The 26,415-nt window shown below is 42.7% G+C and overlaps 1 long non-coding RNA gene across 6 annotated transcripts, besides 1 other annotated feature; it reads right to left on the bottom strand.

The window, feature by feature from the left end:
• Window positions 1-178: 178 nt before the first annotated feature.
• Window positions 179-19,228, bottom strand: LOC100271832 (uncharacterized). 6 transcript variants are annotated; one of them, NR_183187.1, is made up of 4 exons: window positions 19,078-19,228; window positions 18,192-18,283; window positions 17,910-18,079; window positions 179-1,088 (listed from the first exon to the last, which is right to left on the bottom strand). It is a non-coding gene; the product is annotated as an uncharacterized LOC100271832 (long non-coding RNA). The 6 variants fall into 6 exon arrangements; NR_027097.2 differs by having other exon boundaries at window positions 18,969-19,188; NR_183186.1 differs by lacking the exon at window positions 18,192-18,283 and having other exon boundaries at window positions 18,653-19,228.
• Window positions 21,373-21,542: an enhancer, noted in NCBI's record as "experimental_58246 CRE fragment used in MPRA reporter constructs". NCBI's record gives its function as "activates a minimal promoter by MPRAs in K562 erythroleukemia cells, with activity observed for both the introgressed and non-introgressed 2:33149925 variant alleles {active_cell/tissue: K562}" and the evidence as "EXISTENCE:reporter gene assay evidence [ECO:0000049][PMID:34662402]".

Below are 26,415 nucleotides of genomic sequence, written 5' to 3'. Positions count from 1 at the left end.
CATTATTGTTTTTAATAAAGGCGAATCAGTTCACGGGACCGTAATCCGACCGGGTCACCCAACTTGGAGATGACCTGACCCATTAAGAGAGATGGCAGAATGTACCAGGGATAGAGTCTGGGGGGTCATAGTGCTCTTTGGGGAAAACCATGAAATAATGACATATTTACTTTTAGCATTTGAATTCAAAACAATGTCGCATGATTTTATTATGTGAATGCAATAGAAAGTCCACAGTCATAGCAGTCTTCCTCTATTTTTTTTTTAAGCCTTTAACTTAAGAATGATGGTGTGTTTCCAAGGCTTTGGTTGTTCTTGTTCTTATTTACTTGTGGCTTATCCTTTTGTTTTGTTGCCTGCATGCATTGGCTAGTAGACAATTGGTAGCAGGTGACAATGGTTTAAGAAGCATTAATGGAAAAATAATTTAACCCTAAGGAAACTTAACCCATTAATTACTTTTTTTTTCTGCACATTGGAGAAAGACCTCCAATATTTGATTTGGCAGGCAGGGCCTCAGTCCAGCTGCCTGAGCACTAGCTGCTTGTGAGAACACAGTTTGAGAGGCACTGTCATGGAATAAATAGCGCCGGACTGGAGGGAAGAGCCCTCAGGTCCAGTCCTAACACTGCCATTAGTAAGCTGAAGGACCACAGGCAGCTCACCTCTCCTTCTGCACCTCCACTTCCTCCTCTGTCACAGAGGAATTGGATGAAAAGTCCCTGCCAGCCCTAGCAGTCTGTGTCTCTAAGAACATCCAGGGTCCTTCTGGACAGGATCATTCTAGGTCAGCCCCTGAGCCAGGCCAAAGTGAACTAGCTGAGAAGATTGAGGATTGAGGTGAGTCACAAGGCTGCCTCCCAGGTTGGTTCAAAGGTAATGAGTTACCTCAATTGATTGTTCACAGTCAGTTACGGATCCAATTCCTTGTTCTACTCTTTCCCGTCTTCTTGATACTGTACTTGACTAGTCTTAAGAAAAGTTTAAAGAAAAAAAAAAAAAGAAGAAGCTGTCTCTCAGCACCAGGTTCTGTATGAAGGATACAACAGAAGCTAATATCCACCGCATCTCTGAAGGAGGCACTGAGGCTGTGGAAATACAAAGGATCACAAGGCATAAAGCCCTTGTCTTTAAGAAACTTCGTGTCTTGTTAGGGAGAGAAGATGTAAATGAAAGCTTAAAAATGATAACAACTTAATGAAGCAACACTTTGAGATCATGATAGACCTCTCACAAGGGAGGACCTGATTTGTATGATGCCTGTATCATAGTACAGCCCACAATTCTTTGTCATCTTATGGAAAATTCACCAACATGTAGGGAAAATACTTCCTACCTGCAACTCAGATCAGTTCACAGAGCTCTTACCTCTCAGGTAGGGATAATGTAACAGCAGATGAAATGGTTGGAGGTGGGGAGGAGGGTGATTAGCATAGCTACAACATTCTGCAGAGCCAGGACAGGAGAGGAGAGATGTCAGACAGAGGAAAGCTCAGGAAAGAGTAAAGGACAGCATCCCCAACAGGACCAGCCTCTACCTGTCTTCAGTGGTGGTCACTCCCAGTCCCCAGATGGACAGATGGCAAGCATTAAAGCTGCTTTTGGGCAATAAGTGGCAGCTACCTGTGGAGGGCACAGCCTGGATGGGGACTCTAGGGGGCTGGGCTCTACCTGCTGCTTTACTTCTGTATTAGTATGTTCTCATGCTGCTAATACGTACCCGAGACTGGTTAATTTCTAAAGGAAAGAAGTTTAATTGACTCACAGTTCCGCAGGGCTGGGGAGGCCTCAGGAAACTTACAATCATGGCAGAAGGGGAAGGCAAACACGTCCTTCTTCACATGGCGGCAGCAAGGAGAAGTGCCGAAGCAAAAGAGGGGAAAGCCCCTTAAAAAACCATCTGATCTCCTGAGAGCTCACTATCAGGAGAACAGCATGAGGGTAACCGCCCCCGTGATTTAATTACCTCCCACCGGCTCCCTCCCACGACACGTGGATTACAATCCAAGACGAGATTTGGGAAGGGACGCAGCCAAACCATATCAACTTCCCGTGGAAACTTGAGCAAGACATTTCACCTCTCTGAGCCTCAGTTTCCAGAAGGCCTGGGACTCTGCCTGAGATCCTAGTGTTTGGGGGAGAAATGACCTTAACCAGGCCCTTTGGCTCTGCAGAAAAATGTTTTTTAACCATTAAAAAATGCAGAATGCAGTTTTCCTCTCAACCCACAGCAATGGCGAGGTGGGCATTTCACACCAATCTTTAACCCAATTACAACCTGCCTTATGACAGATTTGGATATATCACAATCAGATCATCTCTGAAACAAAACCACAGGAAAAAAACAAAAAAAAAAACAAAAAAAAAAAAAAACCTCTAGTGTGAGGCTGGGCACCATGGCTCACACCTGTAATCCCAGCACTTTGGGAGGCCAAGGCAGGCAGATTACTTGAGGTCAGGAGTTTGAGACCAGCCTGGGCAACATGGTGAAACCCCAACTCTGAAAAAAATAAAAATAGGCCAGGTGCAGTGGCTCACACCTGTAATCCCAGCACTTCGGGAGGCCAAGGCAGGCAGTTTACTTGAGGTCAGGAGTTTGAGAACAGCCTGGCCAACATGGTGAAACCTCGTCTCTACTAAAAATACGAAAATTAGCCGGGCATGGTAGCACATGCCTGTAATCCCAGCTACTCCGGAGGCTAAAGCAGGAGAATCACTTGAACCCTGCAGGTGGAAGTTGCAGTGAGCCAAGATTGTGTCACTGTACTCCAGCCTGGCAACAAAGCGAGACTCCATCTCAAAAAAATAATAAGACTAAAACTAAAAAAAATTTTTTAAATACAAAAATAAATCTCTAGTGTGAATGTTAACCCATCCGTCTACACATTAGTGTATGTGTGTATGCACACAATTAATATGGAAATATACACATGAGCAAGCAGCCCGACTCTGTAGTTGGGAGACTCCAGCAAAATCACAGGTTTCCACATAAGTCTCTTGCTATTTACGTAACTAGCAAGATAATCCTTGAAAAACCTGTTATGCACCCCATGTACTATCATCTGAGATGGTCACTCATCCCAAACACTGAACTCACTATTATTCTGAAGGTGAAAGCCCAGTTTCTGTCAGCCATGAGGATGGGCCTTTGCCAATTCTAGACCCAGTTTAATGCTATGGATGCTGGACTCAAACCCCCCTAGAGTTCAAGGTCCATTTATGTTGGCAGTACACAACTTCCTGGTTCAAAAAACAAGCCTTTAAAGATCTCATAAAACTTCTTGGACTTCAGATGGTTTTTACAAAACAATACTCAGATGAGCTAAGTGTAAATGAATCAGAAAAGAGGATTATGTTTCCCATAAAAACTCATGAGTTTGAGGATTAGGAGAAGAAAGAAAGGCTGGCAAATGCCAAACATTTTAAAGCGCTTTGAGACCATTAGTCAAACTCAAAGCATGGCCAGTTTCCCTCATCTTTACACTTTATGAGTTTTGTAATTGAAAATCTTTTCCTACATTTAAGATCAGCTACAAATCAAATTTAGTGGCTGCCTATGATCAGAAGAGCATCCAGCCATGTTTTCTTCCAGGCAAGCATTTCATGGAGCTCCTTTTAGTCCTCTTTTAGTTTCATCAAGAAATTCTTAGAAAGAAAATGGGAGGGGAGAAGGAAAAGAAATGAGAAGCCAATAGGCTGTAGATAAAAGGAAGAGAGAGAAAGAGCAAGAGCAAGAGAGAGACTGAGGGAAAGGAAAGTGAGAGGAGAGGAAGCAGGAGAGAGAGGGTGAGAAGGGAAAGACAGAAAGGCAGAAAGAAAAGCAGAAAGACGGATAGAGGCAAAGAAGGAAGAGGAATGAATGGAGAAAGGGGGAAGGAAGCAGAAAGCAATGAATGAGAAAGGGAGCAGACAGAGATGTAGATGGAGAAAATGAAAAAATGAAAGGAGAGAATTTTAAACAGAATCTACGGCTCCATTTCCTCAGGCTGCTCATTAGGATTCTGGCAGCCTTTTCTGAACATCAGCTAGCTGTAACCTGAACATCAGTTTGTCCAGATTTGGGCTAGAATTAAATCTGCAACCTTATTAGGTGCTAGCACAGTGTGGCTGGCTGCCCCATACCTCACACAAAGTGGTAGGGACAGGAAGTCTCGTGTTCTCCTACACAAGCAGCAGGCCAAGAATGGAATCTTCACCTCATGACTGCCCAAAAATAGGTAGCTTATTCACTCACACAGTCCTGTTTTGTATTTTTAACCATTTCATCAAAAGGTAGGGGTGGGGGGCCAGGCGCGGTGGCTCACACCTATAATCCCAACACTTTGGGAGGCGGAGGCGGGTGGATCACTTGAGGTCAGGAGTTCGAGACCAGCCTGGCCAACATGGTGAAACCCTGTCTCTACTAAAAAAAAAATAAAATAAAATAGAAAAATTAGGCCGGATGTTGTGGTGGGCGCCTGTCATCCCAGCTACTTGAGAGGCTGAAGCAGGAGAATCACTCAAACCTGGGAGGCAGGGGTTGCAGTGAGTCGAGATCTCGCCACTGCACTCCAGCGTGGGTGACAGAGCAAGACTCCATATCAAAAAAAAAAAAAAGTAGGGGTGAGGGAGTTTAGAAACGTGTGACCTCCTCCACCTATGACTCTACTTCCATGAGAAAAAAACATGAAGCTTTACAAATGCAGAATTAAAGCAGAGGCTCATGTGGGCTCATGTGATGAAAATGTTAGTGTCTGTCTACCAAGCTGTGTGAGCAAGGTAGAAACAGGTCTGCTTTGCAGAAAAAGATGACGTACCCCCAGGAATGAGCAACAAGTAGAACTGAGGTTTACCCCAGCGTTTCCCTTCCCTTCCCTTTTGTTTTCATATAACAAACATTTGTTGAACAACTATAGGGTCCTCAGCTAGCTTCCACAGAAACTTTACAGCAAATTCAGAACAGATTTCCATTTTAGATGGAGAAGTTAGAATTAATATGTTGTTAGATTGCAACCCAAAGTTGCCCCTGGACCAGCAAGTGCCCTCGTGCTGGCCCTCAGTGCCTGGCCATGGCAATACAGACCCTGTCCACTGGGAGCAGACAGCCTCCTGGTGTAAATAGATCCTGAACAAATCATCGCATGTGAAGCAGGTATTAAAAAGGAATTACAGGCCAGGCACGGTGGCTCACGCCTATAATCCCAGCACTTTGGGAGGCCGAGGTGGGCGGATCACAAGGTCAGGAGTTTGAGACCAGCCTGGCCAACATGGTGAAACCCCGTCTCTACTAAAACTGCAAAAATTAGCCGGGCGTGGTGGTGGGCGCCTGTAATCCCAGCTACTCGGGAGGCTGAGGCAGGAGAATCGTTTGAACCCGGGAGGCGGAGGTTGTAGTGAGTCGAGATCATGCCATTGCACTCCAGCCTGGGTGACAGGGCAAGACTCTATCTCAAAAAAAAAAAGGAACTACAGGGTGGGAAACAAGACCCATCAGAGGAAAATGGGTCAGGGGCATGGTCTGCCTTGCTACAAATTTAGAGGTGTCAATCAACAAAAAGGGAACTCACAAAAAATAAAGTTTTCCTTTCCCCTCCTCACTTGCCTTACATAATCAAGATGAGTATCACACCGTGGGGACTCCTAAAGACAGCAAAATGGCTCTCTGCAGCTAGCCAAAATGTGTCAATTAATTTAGCTTTCACTGAGATTTGTTATGCTCATTTATTCAGAACTTTTGAACATTAAACATGAAACTACATGATAATTAAATAGCTGTCAACACAATTTTATTTACACTTGTCATTCACACCCTCCAAACCTCATCAGGCCACTGGTTGGCCTGCATTCAATGAGGCATAAAGGAAATATGTTCCTGCTCTCAAGGAGTTTGCATCTTGGAAAACACTTGGACGCACACCAAAATGAGATGCACCTCAACAGAGAAATCTATGAAATACTTGCCTTCGGATCACCAAAAGGCCTCCAAATTTTATTTTACTTTGGTATTTCAGTTTCAAACACTTCTTTGACGTTCCATTCAGTCATTGGAACTTCCCTGCTTAAATTTCAGTTCAAAGGTGCCCAGACACCTGTAAGGTTGTTTGAGGGCTGGATGGCAATCATGTTCTCTCTATTTGGATACAGCTATCTATAAATTGTGATCCAGTTTTAAAAGGAACCTCCTGCTTTGCTTCAACTTCAGTGTCTTTCATGTTGTTGAGTTGCTAGAATTGCTTCTTTTATTATATATATTTATTTATTTATTTATATATTTAATATATAATATATTATATATTAATATATATTATTATATATTATATATTATATATTATTATATATTTATATATTATTATATATTATATTATATATTATATATAAAATATATTATTATATAATATATATAATATATATAATATGTTATATATAATATATATTATATATTATATATATTATATATATTATATATTATATATTATATATATATTATATATTATATATATTATATTATATATAATATATATAATATATAATATATATATTGAGACGGAGTCTCACTCTGTCTGCCAGCCTGGAGTGCAGTGGCAGAATCTCGGCTCACTGCAACCTCCACCTCTTGGGTTCAAGTGATTCTCCTGCCTCAGCCACCCAAGTAGCTGGAACTACAGGCACACACCACCGTGACTGGCTAATTTTTGTATTTTTAGGAAAGACGGGGTTTCACCATGTTGGCCAGGCTGGTCTCCAACTCCTGACCTCAGATGATCCACCCACCTCGGCGTCCCAAAGTGCTGGGATCACAGGCATGAGCCACCGCGCCTGGCCTAGAATTGCTTCTTTACTTAAATTTCAGGGAGTTATTAAAATTGTTATATCGTTTGTCTACATTAGAAGTTTCACCCAATAGCACTAGAACATGATGCTGCCTGAGTTTAACACTTGATCCTAATTTTTTTCCCGATAATCTTTCTGTCTGCCTTCAAACTGAGAAAGACATTATATAGTGACCAAAGCAATCTAGAAACAGAAGAAAACTAGGAGAAAAAATACTATTCCACTTCTACATATCAATTCCTGGCCTCGTCTGCTCTTCTAAAACCTAAGGCCCATCACAGATTGCCTCCTTCTTAATTTTTCAACCTAATCTTGGGCTACATCCTCAAATAAACCTTCTGTTCCAACTACATTTATCTACCTATTTAGGTTGGTGCAAAAGTAATTGCGGTTTTCGCCATTACTTTGCAAAACCTCAATTACTTTTGCACCAACCTCATATTTTTCTTCTCACTCTTTGGAAGGAAAAAAAAAGACCCTGATCAGTCACTAGTCTGTGGAAATATGACACCCAAATTGCTGCTTCCAAGCCTCCCTTCATATCATTCTGAAATTCTCTCACCTCCTCAACTAAGTCTTCCTTCTCCTTCAATTAGAATTTGAGATCCTTTCATCCATGAAGCCCTTTGAAATGACCTTAACTTCAGTTTACTCTCTCTTCTAAACTCTTATGTATATTATCCATTCTCTTATGACCATTGAACACACAATCCTTGCTTTGTGATAGACATAGAATACTTCTAGCAGGGGAAGACTTTTTTCTCCTTGGTCATCATGAGATAAACCAGAATTAAGGCAGGTCTTGGTTAATAATGCCTGAGGTTTGGTTAGGGACATTCTGACCTGTCTTTAGCTGTTTTCAGGCAGCATTTTGCTGAGCAATGGAGTTTGCTTAAATTTTACCCTAACCTGAATTAAGTTGCTTTAACCAAATCAAGCAGTGGCCCTAGGGGGAGTGAGGGGAGTTTCCTAATCCTAAATTAATGGTTTAAAAAGTTCTGTAGAAAGAATCCTGTTATATTTGTGTCTAAACACTGTAATATTTACAGAATTATGTCATTAAAATAGTGCTTTTAAAACATCTCTCTTTTGTTGTCCTCTCAACTTCCCGTTTGTGGAGATCAGGACATACTCTGAGAATTGCAACTAGTACAAATCATCACAATATGGATAAACTGAGCAATATACAGAAGTCCCTCTCACCACCAAAGAAACATTAGCTATACAAGGCATGAGCTGTCTTTCTAAGCAGAGAGGGGAGACCAGTAAAACCAGCCCAGCGTCTGTGATTCCTCCAGGTTTCCCGGTTTTAAAGCCCAGGTTTAAAAAGCTACTGCTGAGACGGATCGGGTTACATCTTCCAGCTGCCAGAGAACCTTACACTTAACCCTTCCCAATCCTCGACCTGGATGTTGCACTCCCATTTCACTTCCTAGAAAGGGTATCTTCTATCTTTGTATGTCTCCCTATGTTCTATTCCTTACATATGAGCAACTGGCCAAAGCCCCAGGTGAAGCTTCCTGTGGCCACACTACGTTCCATGCTTCAGCCTCATCTCTGGAGTCCTGCCTGTGCTGAGGACAGAGACCTTGCGTGTCACGTCCTCCGTGCCTAATACGGTGTGCAATTCATGGTCAAGGTTCAGTGTTTGTTAAATGAATGATTGTGAACCTTCTGATGCCTATGTCACAATAAGAAAACTGCTGACTATCTTTTTTTTGTTTGTTTATCATGAGCATAAACTGTGCCCAAGATCCTTAAGTTGTCAAGGGTCTGGAGATTGATTAATTAATTCTTTCATCCATTGACTCATTCGTTCATTTGTACACCATTCCCTAGACGTTTTTGAGGGCCAGTTGTTTTTTAAGGAACCAAGAATGAGGATGAGAAATTACTTAATGGGTATAACATATACTATTCAGGTGATGGCCACACTAAAAGCCCAGACTCCACCACTACCCGATATACCCATGTAACAAAACTGCAGTTTTGCCCCTTAAATTTATACAAATAAAAAACAGCCTGGGCACGGTGGCTCATGTCTGTAATCCCAGCATTTTGGGAGGCCAAGGCAGGTGGATCGCTTGAGCTCAGGAGTTCAAGACCAGCCTGGGCAACATGGTGAAACCCCATCTCTACCAAAAATACAAAAAGTTAGCCGGGTGTACTGGGAGGCTAAGATGGGAGGATCACCTGAGCCTAAGAGGTTGAGGCTGCAGTGAGCTGTAATCACACCACCACCACTCCAGCCTGGGTGACAGAGTGAGACCCTATCTCAAAAACAACAACAAAGAATGGGGAAAGGATTTTAGACATTTTTATTTAGGGATCTAATATTCCTGACTAAATCCAAGGATTCTCTCCGAAAATCTTCTCTTCAGAAGGCATGGTGTAAAGAGATGGATAGGTAGAATCTCTTCCTACAATCCTCTTGCAGCTAATTGCCAGACAATTTACATGAGCACATATAACAGTATCTGTAAAAAGTAAATACATGATCCTGGATATTTGTGTACCAGAAGGGAGTGAAATGCATGGTTAAGGGCACAAATTTTGGTATCAAACAACCTGGGCTCAGTTCCCAGTTCTGCTTCTAGGTATGGGAGTGAATTTAGGGGCATAAGGCCCATGTTCTGGAAGAATCTAGGAAACAGCCGGATGGGCATTAAGGAATTAAACTCTTGAATCCCCCTTGAACAATCACTTCTATGAGGGAATGCTTTTGAGTACTCATTGCTGCCCTGAGAGCCACTTCTCAGCTGGAAGCAGTTGGAAACAGATAATCTCAGCGTTAGATTCTAAGGGGTCTGTCAAGACTGCCATTTTATGTTATCCCTTTAAGGTTCAGCATGCGGAATAATTTCTCAGCCATCATGAAGTGTTTCCTGGTAGCCAGCTCAGGCTCTACAGATTTACCACCCTAACTCTTCCAGTAAAAGAAAGCCATTTTCAGAAAAACAGAACTTCCTCCAGAGGTTTTATAGCCAAAGGTACCAAAAACTGATGTGTCTCTTGTGTTTTTCACTTGGTGGAGAGAAGCCACAGGGTTGCAATTTCAGATACGCTTGTCTCTAGAAAATAGAACTTGTCTGGGAGGGGATTTAGAGCAAAGATGGAGGAGGAGGCCTCGATTTTACAAAGAAGGATGGTGGGAAGAAGAGAAGGGAAGAAAATCATTCATTATCATTCACTGAGCACTTACAAAGGCCCATCAGTGGCATGGGGGGTAGGGGGGAGTCTGCACCTGCCATCACAGAAGGGGGCTGCTGTTTAAATGTTTGTCTTCATGACTGTTGACAAAAAGAGTCAAATTATAAAATATTTAAAGAGATTTATTCTGAGCCAAATATTAGGACCATGACCCATGACACAGCCCCAGTGGCCCTGAGAACATGTGCCAAAGGTAGTGGGGATGCAGCCTGGTTTTATACATTTTAGGGAGACATAAGACATCAATCAATACAGGTAAGGTGTAGATGGGTTCAGTCTGGAAAGGTGGGACAACACAAAGTGGGGTGGGGCAGGGGGTTTTCAGGTCATAGGTAGATTCAAAGATTTTCTGATACAGATGAAGCCTCCAGGTAGCAGGCTTCAGAGAAAATAGATTGTAAATGTTTCTTATTAGACTTAAAAAGATGCCAGACTCAGGTAATTATCTCCTGGATCAAGGAAAAGACCTGGAAAGGGAAGGGGATTCTCTACAGAATGTAGATTTTCCCCACAAGAGACGGCTTTGCAGGGCCATTTCAGAATATGTAAAAAAAATATACTTCAGTTGCTTTCAGGGTCTGCTATCTGTCACGTTGGTATCTTATTACTGCAAAGAGTCAGTTTTGTCAGTCTTAAGTCTCTGTTTTAATGTTTGTTGGTTTGTTTGCTTTTGAGACAGAGTTTCACTCTTGTTGCCCAGGCTGGAATGCAATGGCTCAATCTTGGCTCACTGCAACCTCCACCTCCCAGTTTCAAGCGATTCTCTTGCCTCAGGCCTCCCGAGTAGCTGGGATTATAGGCGTGAACCACCATGACTGGCTAATTTTGAATTTCTAGTAGAGATGGGGTTTTGCCATGTTGGTCACGCTGGTCTCGAACTCCTGATCTCAGGCAATCCAACCGCCTCGGCCTCCCAAAGTGCTGGGATTACAGGTGTGAGCCACCGTGCCTGGCCTGTTTTAATGTTGATGCTGGTCAGTTGTGCCTGAATTCCTAAGGAAGGACGGTATAATGAGGTGTATCTGACTGCCCCTTTCCCATCATGGCCTGAACTAGTTTTTCAGATTAACTTTGGAATGTCCTTGGCTGGGAGAAGGGGTCCATTCAGTTGGTTGGGGGACTTAGAATTTTATCTTTGATCTATATGACTAAAAATTGACATTCTGTGATTTAATAAACCACACACTTCTGCAAGCTTAAATTTTGTTACCTGTAAAATGGAAATAATACCTAAAACAGGATTCGGCAAGCCTTTTCTGAAAAGGACTAGATAGTAAATATTTTCAACTTTGTGGGTCATGCAGTGTCTGTCACAACAACTCAGCTATGCAGTTACAGCATGAAAGTAGCCATAGACAATGCATAAGGCATAGGCGTGGGCAGATTTGGTCTGCAGGCCGTAGCTTCTCATTCCCTAGTCTAATCCCCTGTTTTAATACATAGGGCACTGTGAAGATTAAATGAGCAAATCCAAGTAACGTATTTTAGTGCAGCATGCGGCAGGTAAGTGCTTAATAAATATTAGCTATTATCATGGTTGTGATCTTAGTCTCTCCCATCTATAAGGGCTAACTGTGTTCACTTTAGTGAGTGAGGTAGTCCTTGGTGTTCCTCAGGAGATAGTCCAGCCTTCTCTCTCTTGGGCACATGGTGAATGTCACGACTGGGTTTTTGGAGAAGAACCCTGAGATGGAGTTTAGTGTACAGGATGCTTATTAATGAACATCCTTGGGAACAATCCCTGTGGAAAGGAAAAGAGGAAAGCAGGATTGGGCAGAGGGAGAAGTCAAGTTGCCAAACAACAGGCTGAGCCAAATCCCAAAATTGTCCCACATCAGGCTGAAAGGGCTGGGCTTCTACCCACACAGGAAGCATTCCCTGGATGTGGGCTGCCCTGGGAAGCATATGGCCCTGGGTGAGTAGCTCTGAATTTCTAGGCACTCCTTGGAGGAGCCAACAGATGAAGCTTGTCTGTGACAACACGCCCAGAAACCCAAGCAATAAGCTAGTGGGAGAGAAAGATGTGACCAACTCTGACTGTGAACTGCACACAGAAATAACACTTCACTTGCAGACCAAGCATTTAATTGTTGTTTAAAGACCCTTCAAAGCTCCTTTCCCCTGTAGTGACCAGTGATTTCAAGATGGTGGCTGCTCGATGAGCCTGGGCCCCAGAGGAATGACAGTGAGGAGAACCCCTCATTAACCTGTGCGATGGAATGTAGTGTGAGCAAAACTTAAATCTGAGTTCTTTAAAGCCACTGAGATTTGGGGGTCGTTCGTTACTGCAGTATTGTTAGCTTTCTACTGTGTGTCATCAGTAGCAGCATAGGAAGCTACATTGGATGTATTTAAATGATTTGAAGACGAGACACCTTATGATCTTAAAAAATCAAGAAACTGGTTTCAAATCATCATCATCACTTCCAGCAGTGACATCATAGCTAACATTAGCACTTACATGAATTTGTTACTGGAAAGGAGTCCTGATCCAGACCTGAAGAGAGAGCTCTTGGACCTCGAGCAAGAAAGAGTTCAGGGCAAGTCCATAGAGTAAAGTGAAAGCAAGTTTATTCGAGAAATAAACAGAAGAATGGCTACCCTATAGGCAGAGACGTGGCATGGGCTGCTTGACTAAATACAGTTATTTCTCGACTATATGCTAAACAAGGGGTGGGTTATTCATAAGCTTGCCGGGGGAAAAGGGGTGGAGATTTCTTGGAACTAAGAGTCCCTCCCCTTTTTAGACTACGTAGGGTAACTCCCAAACGTTGCCATGGCATTTGTAAATTGTCACAGTACTGGTGGGAGTGTCTTTTAGTATGCTAATACATTAATAATTCACATATAATGAGCAGTAAGGACAACTAGAGGTCACTTTCATCGCCATCTTGGTTTTGGTGGGTTTTGGTGGGCTTTCTTATGACATCCCGTTTTATCAGCAGGGCCTTTGTGACCTGTATCTTGTGCTGATCTCCTCTCTCATCCTGTGACTAAGAATGCCTAGTCTCCTGGGAATGCAGCCCAGCAGGTCTCAGTCTCATTTTACCCCTATTTAAGATGGAATTGCTATGGTTCAAATGCCTCTGACAAATTCACTAATGCTCAAACAACCTATGGATGACACAGTTATTATTTTCTCCATTTTAGAGATGAAACAACTGATGCTTAAAGAGATTTATTAACTTGTACAAGGCCAGGGGTGTGCAATCTATAGCCTGAAGTTCAAATCCAGCTAAGTGCCTGCTTTTGTAAATAAAGTTTTATTGGAACACAGCCATGCCCATTCATTACACATTACATAATTATGGCTGTTTTCGTGATACAGTGGCTGAGTTGAGTAGTTGCATATGGCTTGCAAAGCTCAAAATACAGTCGGCCCTCCATATGTGAGGGTTCCACATTTGTCGATTCAACCAACAAAGGATCAAAAATGTTTGAAAACAAAAATAAAAAAGCAATACAGTAAAAATAATATAAATTAAAAACAATACAACACAGTAACTCTTTGCATAGCATTTATATTGTATTAGGTATTATAAGTAATCTAGAGATGATTTAAAGTATACGAGAGGATGTGCATAGGTTATATGCAAATACTAGGCCATTTTATATCAGCGACTTGAGCATCCATGGATGTTGTTATCCATGGGGTGTCCTGGAATGAATCCCCTATGCGTACTGAGGGACAACTGTACTTACCATCCAGCCCTTCACAGAAAAAGTTTGCCCACCCTCACCTCTAGCAGTAGTAAGCGGCAGAGCCTGATTCCAAACCGAGGTTGTCTGACTCCAGAGACAACACTCATAACTCGGATATAAATAAACATTAGGTAGACTTGGAACCATGTTGGAATGTTATGAAACTTTTCTATTTCCATTTTCCGAATCGTGTGTTTTTTTTCATTTAAAAATTTCCTGATGTTTACTTCCAGCAATATGACAGACTCTGTATCCTGAAAATTCTCCCCCAAAAAGCACCTTTAAAATGCTGGATAAAATGAGTAGCTAACTTGGCAAGAAATTAAAGTATCTTAATCCCCAGAGGCCAAAAATGAAGTTGGAAGCCAGAATTCAGAATGAGCATGGTAAATATTCACTGGAGCAGGCATCAGACCCTGAGGGCATTTGCCAGTGTTTTGTAAATTAGAGCTTTCAGTTTTTACATCCGTGTCGGGGGAAGGGGGACAGGAGAGGCAGGCGACAAAGCAGTGCAGTGTCAGCATGGAGACTTTGGAATGAGTCCCGAAAGGCCCACATTCCCAATAAAATAGTGAATTAGAAAATGTTCGCCATGCAAAGGAAATAGCAAAGAAGATTTTGCATCTTAGCCTTGATTTTGGTTGGAAGAAAAAATAAAAGTTCCTACCCCCTACCAGAAATTATAAATAATCACCAGTCAGGCCTCAAGCCTGGGTTCAAATTCACTCTGTGTACCTATTCTGAAACTATATTTTAAACAAACAAACCAAAAAAAAAATTTAAAATGACGAGACACTTGGCAAAGGTAAACACAAATAGAAGGAATGTTCTCCAATTCAAGCCTCATAAAATTCTCACAGCTAGTGCCTCAACAAAAATGAGCTCACAATTTTTAAAAAAAATCACAAGACCACCCATGTAGTAAGACATCATCAGACAGGGTTAGAAACATCAAACAGTAGAATCAGACATTCAGGCTTTGGGTTGGAATTATCACGTAGAGCAAGGTTAGCAAACTTTTCTCTAAAAGGCCAGATAGTATACATTTTAGGCTTTGCAAGCCATGCAGTCTCTGTCACAAAGATTCAGCCTTGCTATTCTACTGTAAAAGCAGCCATGGGCAGTATGCAAATGAATGGGCTTGCCTGTGTTTTAATAAAACTATATCTACAAAAACCGAGAGTGTGCCAGAAAACCATGCCTTATAAATAAATATGTTTTCAATATTTAAAAAAACTTTAAAACATAAGCAAGGAACAAAATACTCTTATAAACATCAAAAAAGATTAACTTCTGAAAGTAAAATAGTTGAATTTTAAAATTCAACATATGAGTTGACTAACGAATTAGAAATGAAATGTATAATTAATAAATTGAAAGTTGGATGAGACAAAACGACTTAGAATATAGTTGAGAGAGAGAAAAAGGATATCATGATATACACATGAAAGTTTAAGAAGTGTTCACATTCATCTAATGAAAGTTCCAGAAAGAGTGACTAGAGAAAATGAGATGGAAACAATATTCAATAATTTGTATGGTTCCTTATATTTAGGAAGTACAAAAAATTCTAAAAAATATTCACACCCAGACTTATCCTGGTGAAATGAAAGAACATTAAAGACAAATTTAATAGCTTAAAAACAGCTAGAGAAAAAGACAGCTTTCCTGTTTTACATCTAACTTCATATGAACAGAGCAGAAACCAAAAGATTACAAGATGATGTCTTCAAAGTGCTAGGAAAAATGTTTCAATTTACAGTTGGATACCCAGTAAAACTTATCTTTCATGAGGATGCAATAGAATATATTTAGGTGAACAAAAGCCAAGATAATTTACTCTGGACAGATTCTTAGTAAAGGAACTTCTTGAGGATATATATACCTTGGAAAGAAGGATATATATACTTCTCCAGAAAGGAGATGTGAACTGTAAGTTGTAAGAAAGATAACCACGTGATCAAAGACATTTGTAGTCACATGGATACATCTAAATAAATATCAACACTAATAAATCTAACTTGTAAAGTTATAAAAGTCAGAGGTTGGGAGAGATGAGCTTCTAAAGCAGAGGTCATAGTCTATTTCTTAAAATGGTAAATATATGAATGTATGTGTGTGTGTGTGTGTGTGTGTGTGTGTGCGTGCGCGCACGCAAACATGCATATACATACATGCATGTTGTAAACTTTTCTATATATGATACATTTCACAAGACTTTTTAATAGAAATAAAATACTGGACAATACTAGCTTATAAGCTGAGAAAGAGTTAAAATACTCTAGGTTTTAGAAGGAGGCTGAATCTAATTAATAACTTTAACTATTAAAAAATTAGAATCTATACATTCCAAAATATTGGAGGAGAAAAAAATGGAGTAGGAATTTCATCAAATAGAAAGTGTAAAAAGATGGTGAAAATAAATCCAAATATATCAATGATCATAATTAAATAAAAAAGAATTACGCTTGTCAGCTAAAAGATAGTTAATTTTTAAAAATCCAACCATATTCTTCTTACAAGAAACACATGTAAAACAGAAGTACACCAAATGTTTGAGAGTAAAATAATGGGAAAAGCTACATTAAGGGAAGTGAATTTTTCTAACAAGCAAAATAATAACTTCCTGTTTGCTTTCAGATGTAACCACTGAATCCTCATACAAAGGATATGTTAGTTTCATATATCATAATGAAACTAAGAAAACAAATAAATGTAAAGAGAGAAATCAGGGAAAAAAAACTTAGGTTAAGGATTAATATTCTCTGACAAATCTAAAAATCTGAAAAAGCAGTTCCACCAGTGCTATACCCATGGAATTCAAACAAGCATTGATGGAAACCTAGGGCTGAATGGTATGAGTCAAGAGTAACTATCATTTCTCAAATTTGGGTCAAATTTCTTAATAATGGAGTTTACAAAATAAAATTAGATCACATTACAAAATAACTTGCATTTGGAGACAAAAGATGCTGTGATCACTTTCAATTGTATTAATATTGCTCTTTGAAATGAATGAGACATTAAACACAAAGATTCTAAGAAAAAGTAAATACAAAAATAATTTTGAAGTGTGAACGAATTTGACTACTTTTAAGATTCAGGAACAAATATTTATGTATAAAGGTGGACAATTGCTGCATTAAAATAGAGGAAGGGCTAAAATGTGAAGCTTATGAATAATGAAATGATTTTATAGTTATTTTAGTGGCATGGGGAAATGTCCATGATATAATTAGTTAGCAAACAAAACCATATATGAAACTGTATATTCACAATAAAAATATGTTTAAATGTCATCAAATGTGTCTAGAAACAGGATTGGGAAGAAAAACAACAGAATACTAAGAGTGGTGGGGAAATGAGTGATTTGTATTTTCTACTTTATATTGTATTTTCCAAGTCTTTTTTTTTTAACAATGACCACTTTAATAATCAGAAAACAGAATAATTGTATTTTCAATCTTTAGTATTTTGTGTGTTTACATATATTATGGTCCAGAATCCCAGTGAATGAAGATGTGAAAAATGAATTCTAGAAAGATGAAACATGACAAGACTTTAAAAGAATGTTTTAAAAGACAGAGAAATCGCTAGCCTAATTGGTAGGTAACTTGATATAAAGTTAACTTCTTCACTTCAGGTCTCAAGAATGTGCACCAAAGTGAGTCCCAGAGGTTGCTATGGCAATGGAGGTAAACCTGATTAGGTCGGCATTCACTCTGCTTTCTAAGGTAAGGCCAGGGGAAAGAACATAGGATTCTTTTTTCTTTCATTTTTTAGATGGAGTCTCACTCTGTCACCCAGGCTGGAGTGCCATGAAGCAATCTTGGCTCACTGCAACCTCTGCCTCCTGGGTTCAAGCGATTCTCCTGCCTTGGCCTCCCAAGTAGCTGGGTCTATGGGCACCCGCCCCACCATGCCCAGCTAATTTTGTATTTTAGTAGAGACAGGGTTTCACCATGTTGGCCAGGCTGGTCTCAAACTCCCAACCTCAGGCGATCCACCCACCTTGGCCTCCCAAAGTGCTGGGATCACAGGTGTGAGCCACCGCGCCCCGCCTAGGATTCTTGAATCAGACAAATCCCCACTCTGTGCCTCTGTTGTATTTCCTCTCCCTTCTCTTCTCCCTCATTTGTCCCTCTTGCCTCCCCAGTTCTCTCCTTTTACCATCTTTTCCTCCCTACCTCTTAGCCTCCGCTGCACTTGACACCATCAGACTGTGTTCTTCCTGAATGCCCTCCTTTCTGGGCCTCCATAGGGTGCTGCATTTTCCTGAGTGCCTTCCTCACCAGAAGTTCTGGAGGGCATCATTTCTGGATTCATCATTTCTGACTGTACCCTTGGTGCTCAGGACCTGTCCATGGGAGGTGCCAAAAAATATTTGTTGACCAAATGAATACATGCATGAATGAGTGAATGAAGACAATTCCTCAGTCTCTTTTGTGGGCTCCTCTTCATCTGCTCACCCTTCAATGAGGACATTCTCCAAGATTTCGTGCTTAGTTGCTTTTTCTTTTCATTCTGTACTTTTGTCCTGGATGACCTCTCTTCCCTTTGCCTTAGGTAACATTCAGGTGAAAATTATCCCCAACTTTTCAACTCTACCGCATCTATTTTTCACGTCTATATTTCCACTGCTTTCAGTTGGACCCATGCTCACCCCATATTCAACTTGTCAAAAACCTCATCCTTTTCTTTCCCATCTTTCTTCCTCTTAAGAGCTCCACCTCCATTGATAGTACCACCATCTCCTCAACATCTGGATTTAAGCTCAGAGGACCCTTTTACTCTCCTCCTGCCCTCCCTGATTCCTGTCTACTGAGCACAGCCATACTCTGGAAGTTCATCCTTTCTTTCAATTCCATCCCCACTACCCCTGTGTCACTTCCCACCAAGATCATCACCAAACCCTGGGACGTTTTCTTACTTTGAATCTGCACTTCCCGTGACTGCTGGGTTTCCTAAACCACAGAACTCCTCATTGTCCCATCATGCTCAAAAACACTTTCTGTTTCTCATTGCCTCCAAAATAAAGCCCAGGCACACAGGCTCCTCGCAGTCTCGTTCGATCTATCTTTCCTGCTTCATCACCCTTCCCCATAGCCCCCACTCTGCCATCTTCAATCTTTCTGTCTCTATCATCTCCATCTCCAGCCCCATCTCCCTCTTCGTCTCTGTCTCTAAGAGCCTTGCCAGGTTTCTGCAGCCAACAGTCCCTTCATGCTGCCTCCATGACCACTGACATTTCTCGCCTGCCCGGATGCCATCTCTCACTGCTGTCTTCTCAAACTGCTTCTCCTCCTCCAGGGCCCATATCAAGTATCACCTCTTCTGAGCAGCCTTTTCCCAAACCTTCAGTCAGGATTGAGGGTGCTCTCCTCTGTAGTCTGGTAGCATCTGACGGTGCCTCCCTGAGAGCACAGCCCACAGCTGTCAGGTGCAGGTGGGTGGGCAGAGGGAGACAGTGAGGTGCTCCTGAAGAACTTGAGCACAGGGATAGAATGTTTCTCCTCTAGAGTGAGCTCATAAAACAATGTGTCATGGGAGAGAACAAAGTGCCTGCTAGCTCAAAGGAACAATGCCTTTGACTAGCAACAGCTGTAGCCTGTAGCCAATGACGTCAAGGAAGCTGCAAAAAGGCTGTGTTAACAGAAGCAGGGCTGTTAGAGGAAGGCCAGAGTCAAAGAAGCACATTCTTGCATTTTCCAATCTTTTCCAGGGGAGGAATGCTGATGGGGGTGGGGAGGTTGGATTTCAGGCACTGGAGTGGTGGTGTCCAGCAAGGGACAGGGCTAGTTTCTCCTCTCATCTTACCTTGACCTGAACAAACTATCCTGGGGGCCCCCTGCTGTCTAGTCGTGCTCATCAGAAAGTCTCAGTGTAAGTAGCCACACTTGAATGTGCGCCGTATCATGTAGAAAGGGTGGCTCTCTAGAAATTATTCTAGTCCCCAAAAGGACTATTCCACCCCACATGTTCATTTCTAGCCTACAAGTCAGTCTGTGGTTTGGGCATCTTCAGTCCATCAAGAACTCTGTGGTCATGCCCAAGTCTAGTTTCTGGGCCTGCAAGTCATGGAAATGCCCCTGGGAGGCAGCCGTCCAGCTGTCCCCCTCAGCAGCCAGGGACTGCCACCCTATTCAAGATGCTACAGCCAAGAATTAGAGTTAACTGTGCCCAGCAGTGTCCTCCCACAAGACCACAGGTTCGCAGGCTTTTTCTGTAGAGGGCCATCCAGTCAAATATTTTAGGTTTTGTGGGTGATAAAGTCTCTATCTACTTAACTTTGCCCTTATAGTGGGTGCTCAGCAGCCATAGACAATATGTAATCAAACAAGCGTGTCTGGATTCCAGTAAAACATTATTTACTAAAATAGGTGGTGAGCCAGATTGGCCCACAAGCCATAGTTTGGCAAACCCTGCAGCAGGTCATGAGTTCTTGACAGTAGTGACTGAGTATTTCCTCCTTGGATCCACTCATATATGCCTAGGGCATATTACATCCTCACTGTGTCTGTGGAATTGGACTGAATGCTTTTCTCCTAAATGGCCCACAGGCCTTTGCATAGTAGTGATCACGGTGAACAGAGAACCATCCCATCTGAAGGAACCTTAGAGGTACCCTCCTTGTCAGCAAAGAGATCCTTCTGTAGTATCCTTGACGCATGACATCTAGTTAGCATCCTTCTGCGATGCCTCTGCCTTTGTGTGATCATCCATTTACTCGCCTGATAGCTATCGGGGACTGTTAGCATGTCCAACCCACGTGTGATGAACTGGAAGAATGATCCATCCCTCTTGTGTTGACTGCCTTCCAAGAGCTACTCAGTAAATACTTGCTATACAACTGATTATACTAGTAAGCTAATTTTGTGAGCCAATTTTGGCAGAAGCTGTTTGTTTTCTGCAGAAATTTTAAGCAACCAAAATAAGGATTTGAAGCAGAGAAAACATATTATCTACTAAAAGCCTACAGTGGTTCCTTCCGTGGCTGTAAACTCAGCTGTGATACCACCTGCCTTCTGCCGGCTGGGATGCAGGCTGCAGCGTTGCCCAAGAGTCAGTGGGCAAATGGTGCTCCTCCCAGCTTGGCTACTCGGACCCAGGGATCTCACAGAAGCCTGGCAAGGCTGACAGCTCTCAGGGGGCCTGTGTGGGTTCTTTCCAGTGCACACATTCACTCTGGAGCAAGCCTCAGCATGTGGACCGGGGAGAGAGACTCCCTTTGGACAGTGAGCTGCTGAAGAACAGAGACTGAGAATTAATTGTATTTGAATCCTAAGCAGATGAAAGAATTCTGAGGACACAGCAGGTGCTCAACAAAATTCCCATGTATTGCCGCAAGGAGCATTTCTTTCTTTTACTTTTTTTTTTTTTTCAATGAGACAGAGTCTCACTCTGTCGCCCAGGCTGGAGTGTAGTGGTGCAATCTCCACTCACCGCAGCCTCCGCCTCCTGGGTTCAAATGATTCTTCTGCCTCAGTCTCCCAAGTAGCTGGGACTACAGGTGCACGCCACCATGCCCGGTTAATTTTTGTATTTTTAGTAGAGACAGGGTTTCGCCATATTGGCCAGGCTGGTCTCAAACTCCCGACTTCAGGTGATCCACCCGCCTCGGCCTTGCAAAGTGCTAGGATTACAGACGTGAGCCACCACACCTGGCCTTTGGGGAGCATTTCGGTATCCCTGTTACCTGATACCTCTCACGTGAGTCTGGCCTTGGCAGAGCCACCCTAACAGGGGCTGTGCTCGATCCCAGAATGTCTTCTTCATAATACCAATTCTGCACTTTTCTATAACACTAAAATTTGCAAAGTGCTTTCACATGGCCTTTCTCTTTCTCTTTTTAAATTCACACTGAAATATTATCTAGGACAACTATTTCACATGTCTCCAGGCCTCACCAACTTGTGAGCTCCCATTACAATGAAGCCTCCACCTGTAGACCTACAAGCCTTCAATAGCCCTGATCCCCCCACACCCTCATCACTTGAAGTCTCCTTTATTGCCTTCTAGGTGTCCTAGAAGCTGTCTCAGATTGGCTCATGAATAAGGACACACACCCCTCTACTCTCCGGATCCTCAGAGTTGCTCACTCATGGCCTCCAAGCCATTTGAGAGCAGCACTTTGCTGCTGGTGTTTCTCCTGAGCCCTTAGGGTGCAACAGATTTTTGGTGGAATGAGCAACAGTGGCTCTGCTCATCTTCAGGTGAGACTTCTGTCACCTAGACGACTTCTTTTTTTTTTTTTTTTTGAGATGGAGTTTCACTCTTGTTGCCCAGGCTGGAGTGCAATAGCACGATCTTGGCTTACCACAACCTCCTGGGTTCAAGCGATTCTCCTGCCTCAGCCTCCTGAGTAGCTGGGATTATAGGCAAGCACCACCACGCTTGGCTAATTTTGTATTTTTAATAGAGACGGGGTTTCTCCACGTTTGCCAGGCTGGTCTCGAACTCCCAACGTCAGATGATCTACCTGCTTCAGCCTCCCAAAGTGTAGGGATTAGAGGAGTGAGCCACCGTGCCCAGCTAATTTTGTATTTTTAGTACAGACGGGGTTTCTCCATGTTGGTCAGGCTGGTCTTGAACTCCCAACCTCAAGTGATCCGCCTGCCTCAGCCTCCCAAAGTACAGGGATAACAGGCATGAGCCACCTGGCTACCTAGGCTTCAAGGCTATGCTGTCCTCCAATCCGTACTTCATTAGGCCAGAGGTGGGGGAGTCAGGAACAGGGAAACTTATGCCCAGGATAAGGGACAAGGCATGGGACACAGTTGTCATACCACCCTTCCATTTTCCTCCTGCCATCTCTTGGCTCCCTACATTTAAAGACACCTATTATAGAAACTCCCCTTTCTCCTCCAGTGAAAAAAGAAAATTCCTCATACATATTATCACATTCACACAAATGGCTTGAGAGAAGGGTCACTTGTGCACACATCTAATTTCTGCTAAGCTTCAGCCAGCCCTGCTATCTAGGCATTATCTTCCCATTTTATGGCTAATAAAATCGAGATTTACAGCCCATATAAATAAGTGAATAGGAGAAATGGGGCTTGACCCACTTGAAGCCGTCCTCCTTTCATCTACCACAACTAAACAGCTTAACAGTCAGCCTCATCTCCTCATTGAACAAGATGTGGTCCATCTTCTATGTTTGAAAATGCCTAAGCAAAACTCTGGCCCTTTCCTGATTCCTCCTTCCTCCTCCCATGCATGGTTATTTGGCAGAGCCAAGAAGTAGAATGACAGTTCATTAGCTTCAAGAAAAAGTCACTGCCATAGCCCGTTAATGCAACAGAGTATTTTCTGTGTAAAAGTGATTTTGGCAGAAGCTGGTTGTTTGGTGTAGAAATATTAAGCAACTAAAATAAGGACCCTGATTGCATTTCCAAACAAGTAAAAGCTGCCTCTGTTTAGCTCATGCTTCTCTCTAAAAAGTGGAAATTTTTATATCGAAAGTAAGTCTCTGCAGCTCCATCCTCCTCTCAATGTAACCCTTGCCCTTTGGAGCCTCCACCTAGCACCAGAGGGTAGACCACTAAATAGAAAAAATAAATGTAAACCATTGGAAATGAAAAGTTCATCATTCAAAGCATTACATTCAAGCCATTGTCTCGAATGTTTGGGGTAACTCTCGTTTTTAGTTTAGGAAAGAAAATCTGAAACAGAACAATTACATCACAAATGGAACATTTATATAGTTACTGGGATAGAAAAATATTCAGTGAAGAGAAAGGCTGCATGATTTCAATGAGATCCAGGTGGAAGAGTCCTTTCAACAAATGTCTGCACACCAGCCCATAAAAATGATGGAAAAGGCATAAGACAAGAATAAAAGCGACAAAGTGCCAGGTGCTTATCCCCACTAAACCCACATCCTCTCTGAATTTGTCCCTTTCAGCTGCTCCTGCCTTTCACTTTCCTCTCTCCAAAGGGCTGGATTTTGTGCCTTCTGGATTCTTTTGCTCATTGTCCTCCTCTCCTTCCCCACAAGGCAACAGAAGTGACTCCTGGTCCAGAGCTAGGGAGGGCAGCAGGGAGAATGAAATAACCAATACAACTAGTAACAGTAACAGCAGCAACTTGTGAAGCCCTCACTGAGCACCAAGTGCAGGACTGGATGCTGTCTGTGGATTATCGTGTTTCATTATGACAGTTCTAGAGTGTGGGTTCTATAATTGTTGCTGATATGGTTTGGCTATGTCCCCACCCAAATCTCATCTTGAATTCCCACATGTTGTGGGAGGGACCAGGTGGGAGGTAATTGAATCATAAGGGCAGGTCCTTCCCATGCTGTTTTTGTGATAGTGGATAAGTCTCACAAGATCTGATGGTTTTAAAAAGAGGCGTTCCCCTGCACAAGTTCTCTCTCTTGCTGCCGCCACGTGAGACCTGCCTTTCACCTTCCACCATGATTGTGAGGCCTCCCCAGCCACGTGGAACTGTAAGTCCAATAAACCTCTTTTTTTTGTAAATTGCCCAGTCTCAGGTATGTCTTTATCAGCAGCATGAAAACGGACTAATACAGTTGCTATTTTATAGTTTGGGAAAATGAGACTTAGAAAGGTTGACTATCCTGCCCATCACACAGCTAGTTAGTGGCAGAACTAGCTCTCAAACTTAATCTGACTCTAAAGTAATCACCCTTGCCAGTAGCCCACACACCTCTCCACAATACCTATTAATTATGGATACAATTTATTGTACTTATTTTCCTCCTTTAACTTTCCTCAAAATAAACACTAAAAGTAGATGCTATTTGGCCAGGAACAGTGGCTCATGCCTGTAATCCTAGCACTTTGGGAGGCCGAGGCAGGCGGATTGCTTGAGGCCAGGAATTCCAGACAAGCCTGGCCAATGTGGTGAAACCTCATCTCTACTAAAAATATAAAAATTAGCCAGGTGTGGTGGTGCATGCCTGTAATCCCAGCTTCTTGGGAGGCTGAGGCATGAGAATTGCTTGAGCCTGGTGGCAGAGGTTACATTGAGCCAAGATCATGTCACTGCACTCCAGTCTGGGCAAAGAGCAAGACTCAGTCTCAAAAAAAAAAAAAAAAAAAAAAGAAATGGCCAGGCGCCGTGGCTCACCGTGGCTCATGCCTATAATCCCAACACTTTGGGAGACCAAGGCAGGTGGATTGCCTTGGTCAGGAGTTTGAGACCACCCTGCCCAACATGGTGAAACCTCGTCTCTACTAAAGACACAAAAATTAGCCAGGCATGGTGATGGGCGCCTGTAATGCCAGCTACTCAGGAGGCTGAGGCAGGAGAATAGCTTGAACCCAGGAGGCAGAGGTTGCAGTGAGCCGAGACCACTGCACTCTAGCCTAAGCAACAAGAGTGAAACTCTGTCTCAAAAAAAAAAAAAAAGTAGGTGTCATTTATTTATTTTATCCATTTCATAGATGGGGAAACATTGATACATCAGTTGAACATATATGCCAGGAAATATGTGTGTGAATATGTGTGTGTGTGCACGCAAATATCTGTGTGCATTACTAGGATTACTATCCATATTTTATACATGGGGTCCCTGAGATTCAAAATGATTAAATAACTCAACTGGTTGGAAGGTAGCAAAATTTGGATTTGAACCCAAATCTGCCTTTATCTAGTTTCGACTGCTTATACCATACTGCCTACAAACAGGCCTTTGAATAAGCCTTAAACTACAGCCCAGGAGTACATGCAACCTCCCAGATCTGCATCCTCAGGTACAGTGTCTGGGGCAAGGTGGGGCAGGCATGAATGCCAGAGAGAACTCCTGGGGTGACAAAGGAGGTGAGGGTGGGAGTGGTGGGGTGAGGCCACAGGCCTGGGAGACTTGGAGATGAAGCTGCCTGCTTCCCTGAGGTCCTGGAAGAAGCCACCAGGGCAGGCAGTGCAGGAAATGGGGATTGTTTAGGTGGGACACAATCCTGCAGGAAGAAAAGAGGCAGTGATAGAGAACAATGGCAAGGGGCTTCCTCCTAGTCTCAGGGGAGCTAAAGGGGCAGAATGGTTTGTCTGATGGAAAGAAGGGAAGGGAAGGCCAAATCCTGCAGACCTCTCCCCTCCCCAAAGCCCCCTCTCCCTCTTCCAATCCCACCTGCTTCCAAGAACCGCCTTCTCCCTTGCTCACAGCCCCTTCCCCTAATCCAAAGAAAAAGGAGACACTTAATTTTGTACCACAAAGGGCATTGCTTTGCAGTCTGCATGGGGCCACTTCTACAAGTTGTGTTCCTGTATCTATGCTTCTCATATGGTTCTTCATCAGAATCACATGGTCAGCTAAATTGAGATTTAGAAATCATTTTCCTGCCGGTTTGTGCGGGGTATCTTCTATATCTGTAACACCCCCGGTTCCTGGGGTGACCACCAGTTACTGTGATGATCAGCTAGCAGAGGAGCAGGCAAAGTCCAAGAGAAATGCCTTTCCATACACAAGAGTATTTGCTCAGTGAAAAAATTTGGGCCAGGTGTGGTGGCTCACGCCTGTAATCCCAGCAATCTGGGAGGCCTAGGGCGGGTGGTTCACCTGAGGTCAGGAGTTTGAGTCCAGCCTGGCCCACATGGTGAAACCCTGTCTCTACTAAAAACAATACAAAAATTAGCCAGGTGTGGTGGCGCATGCCTGTAATCCCAGCTAGTTGGGAGGCTGAGGCAGGAGAATCACTTGAACCTGGGAGGTGGAGGTTGCAGTGAGCC

The sequence above is a fragment of the Homo sapiens genome, chromosome 2 (genome assembly GCF_000001405.40).
Source record: "Homo sapiens chromosome 2, GRCh38.p14 Primary Assembly".
Lineage (NCBI taxonomy): Eukaryota > Metazoa > Chordata > Mammalia > Primates > Hominidae > Homo > Homo sapiens.
This window is presented reverse-complemented; position numbering and strand designations above follow the sequence as displayed.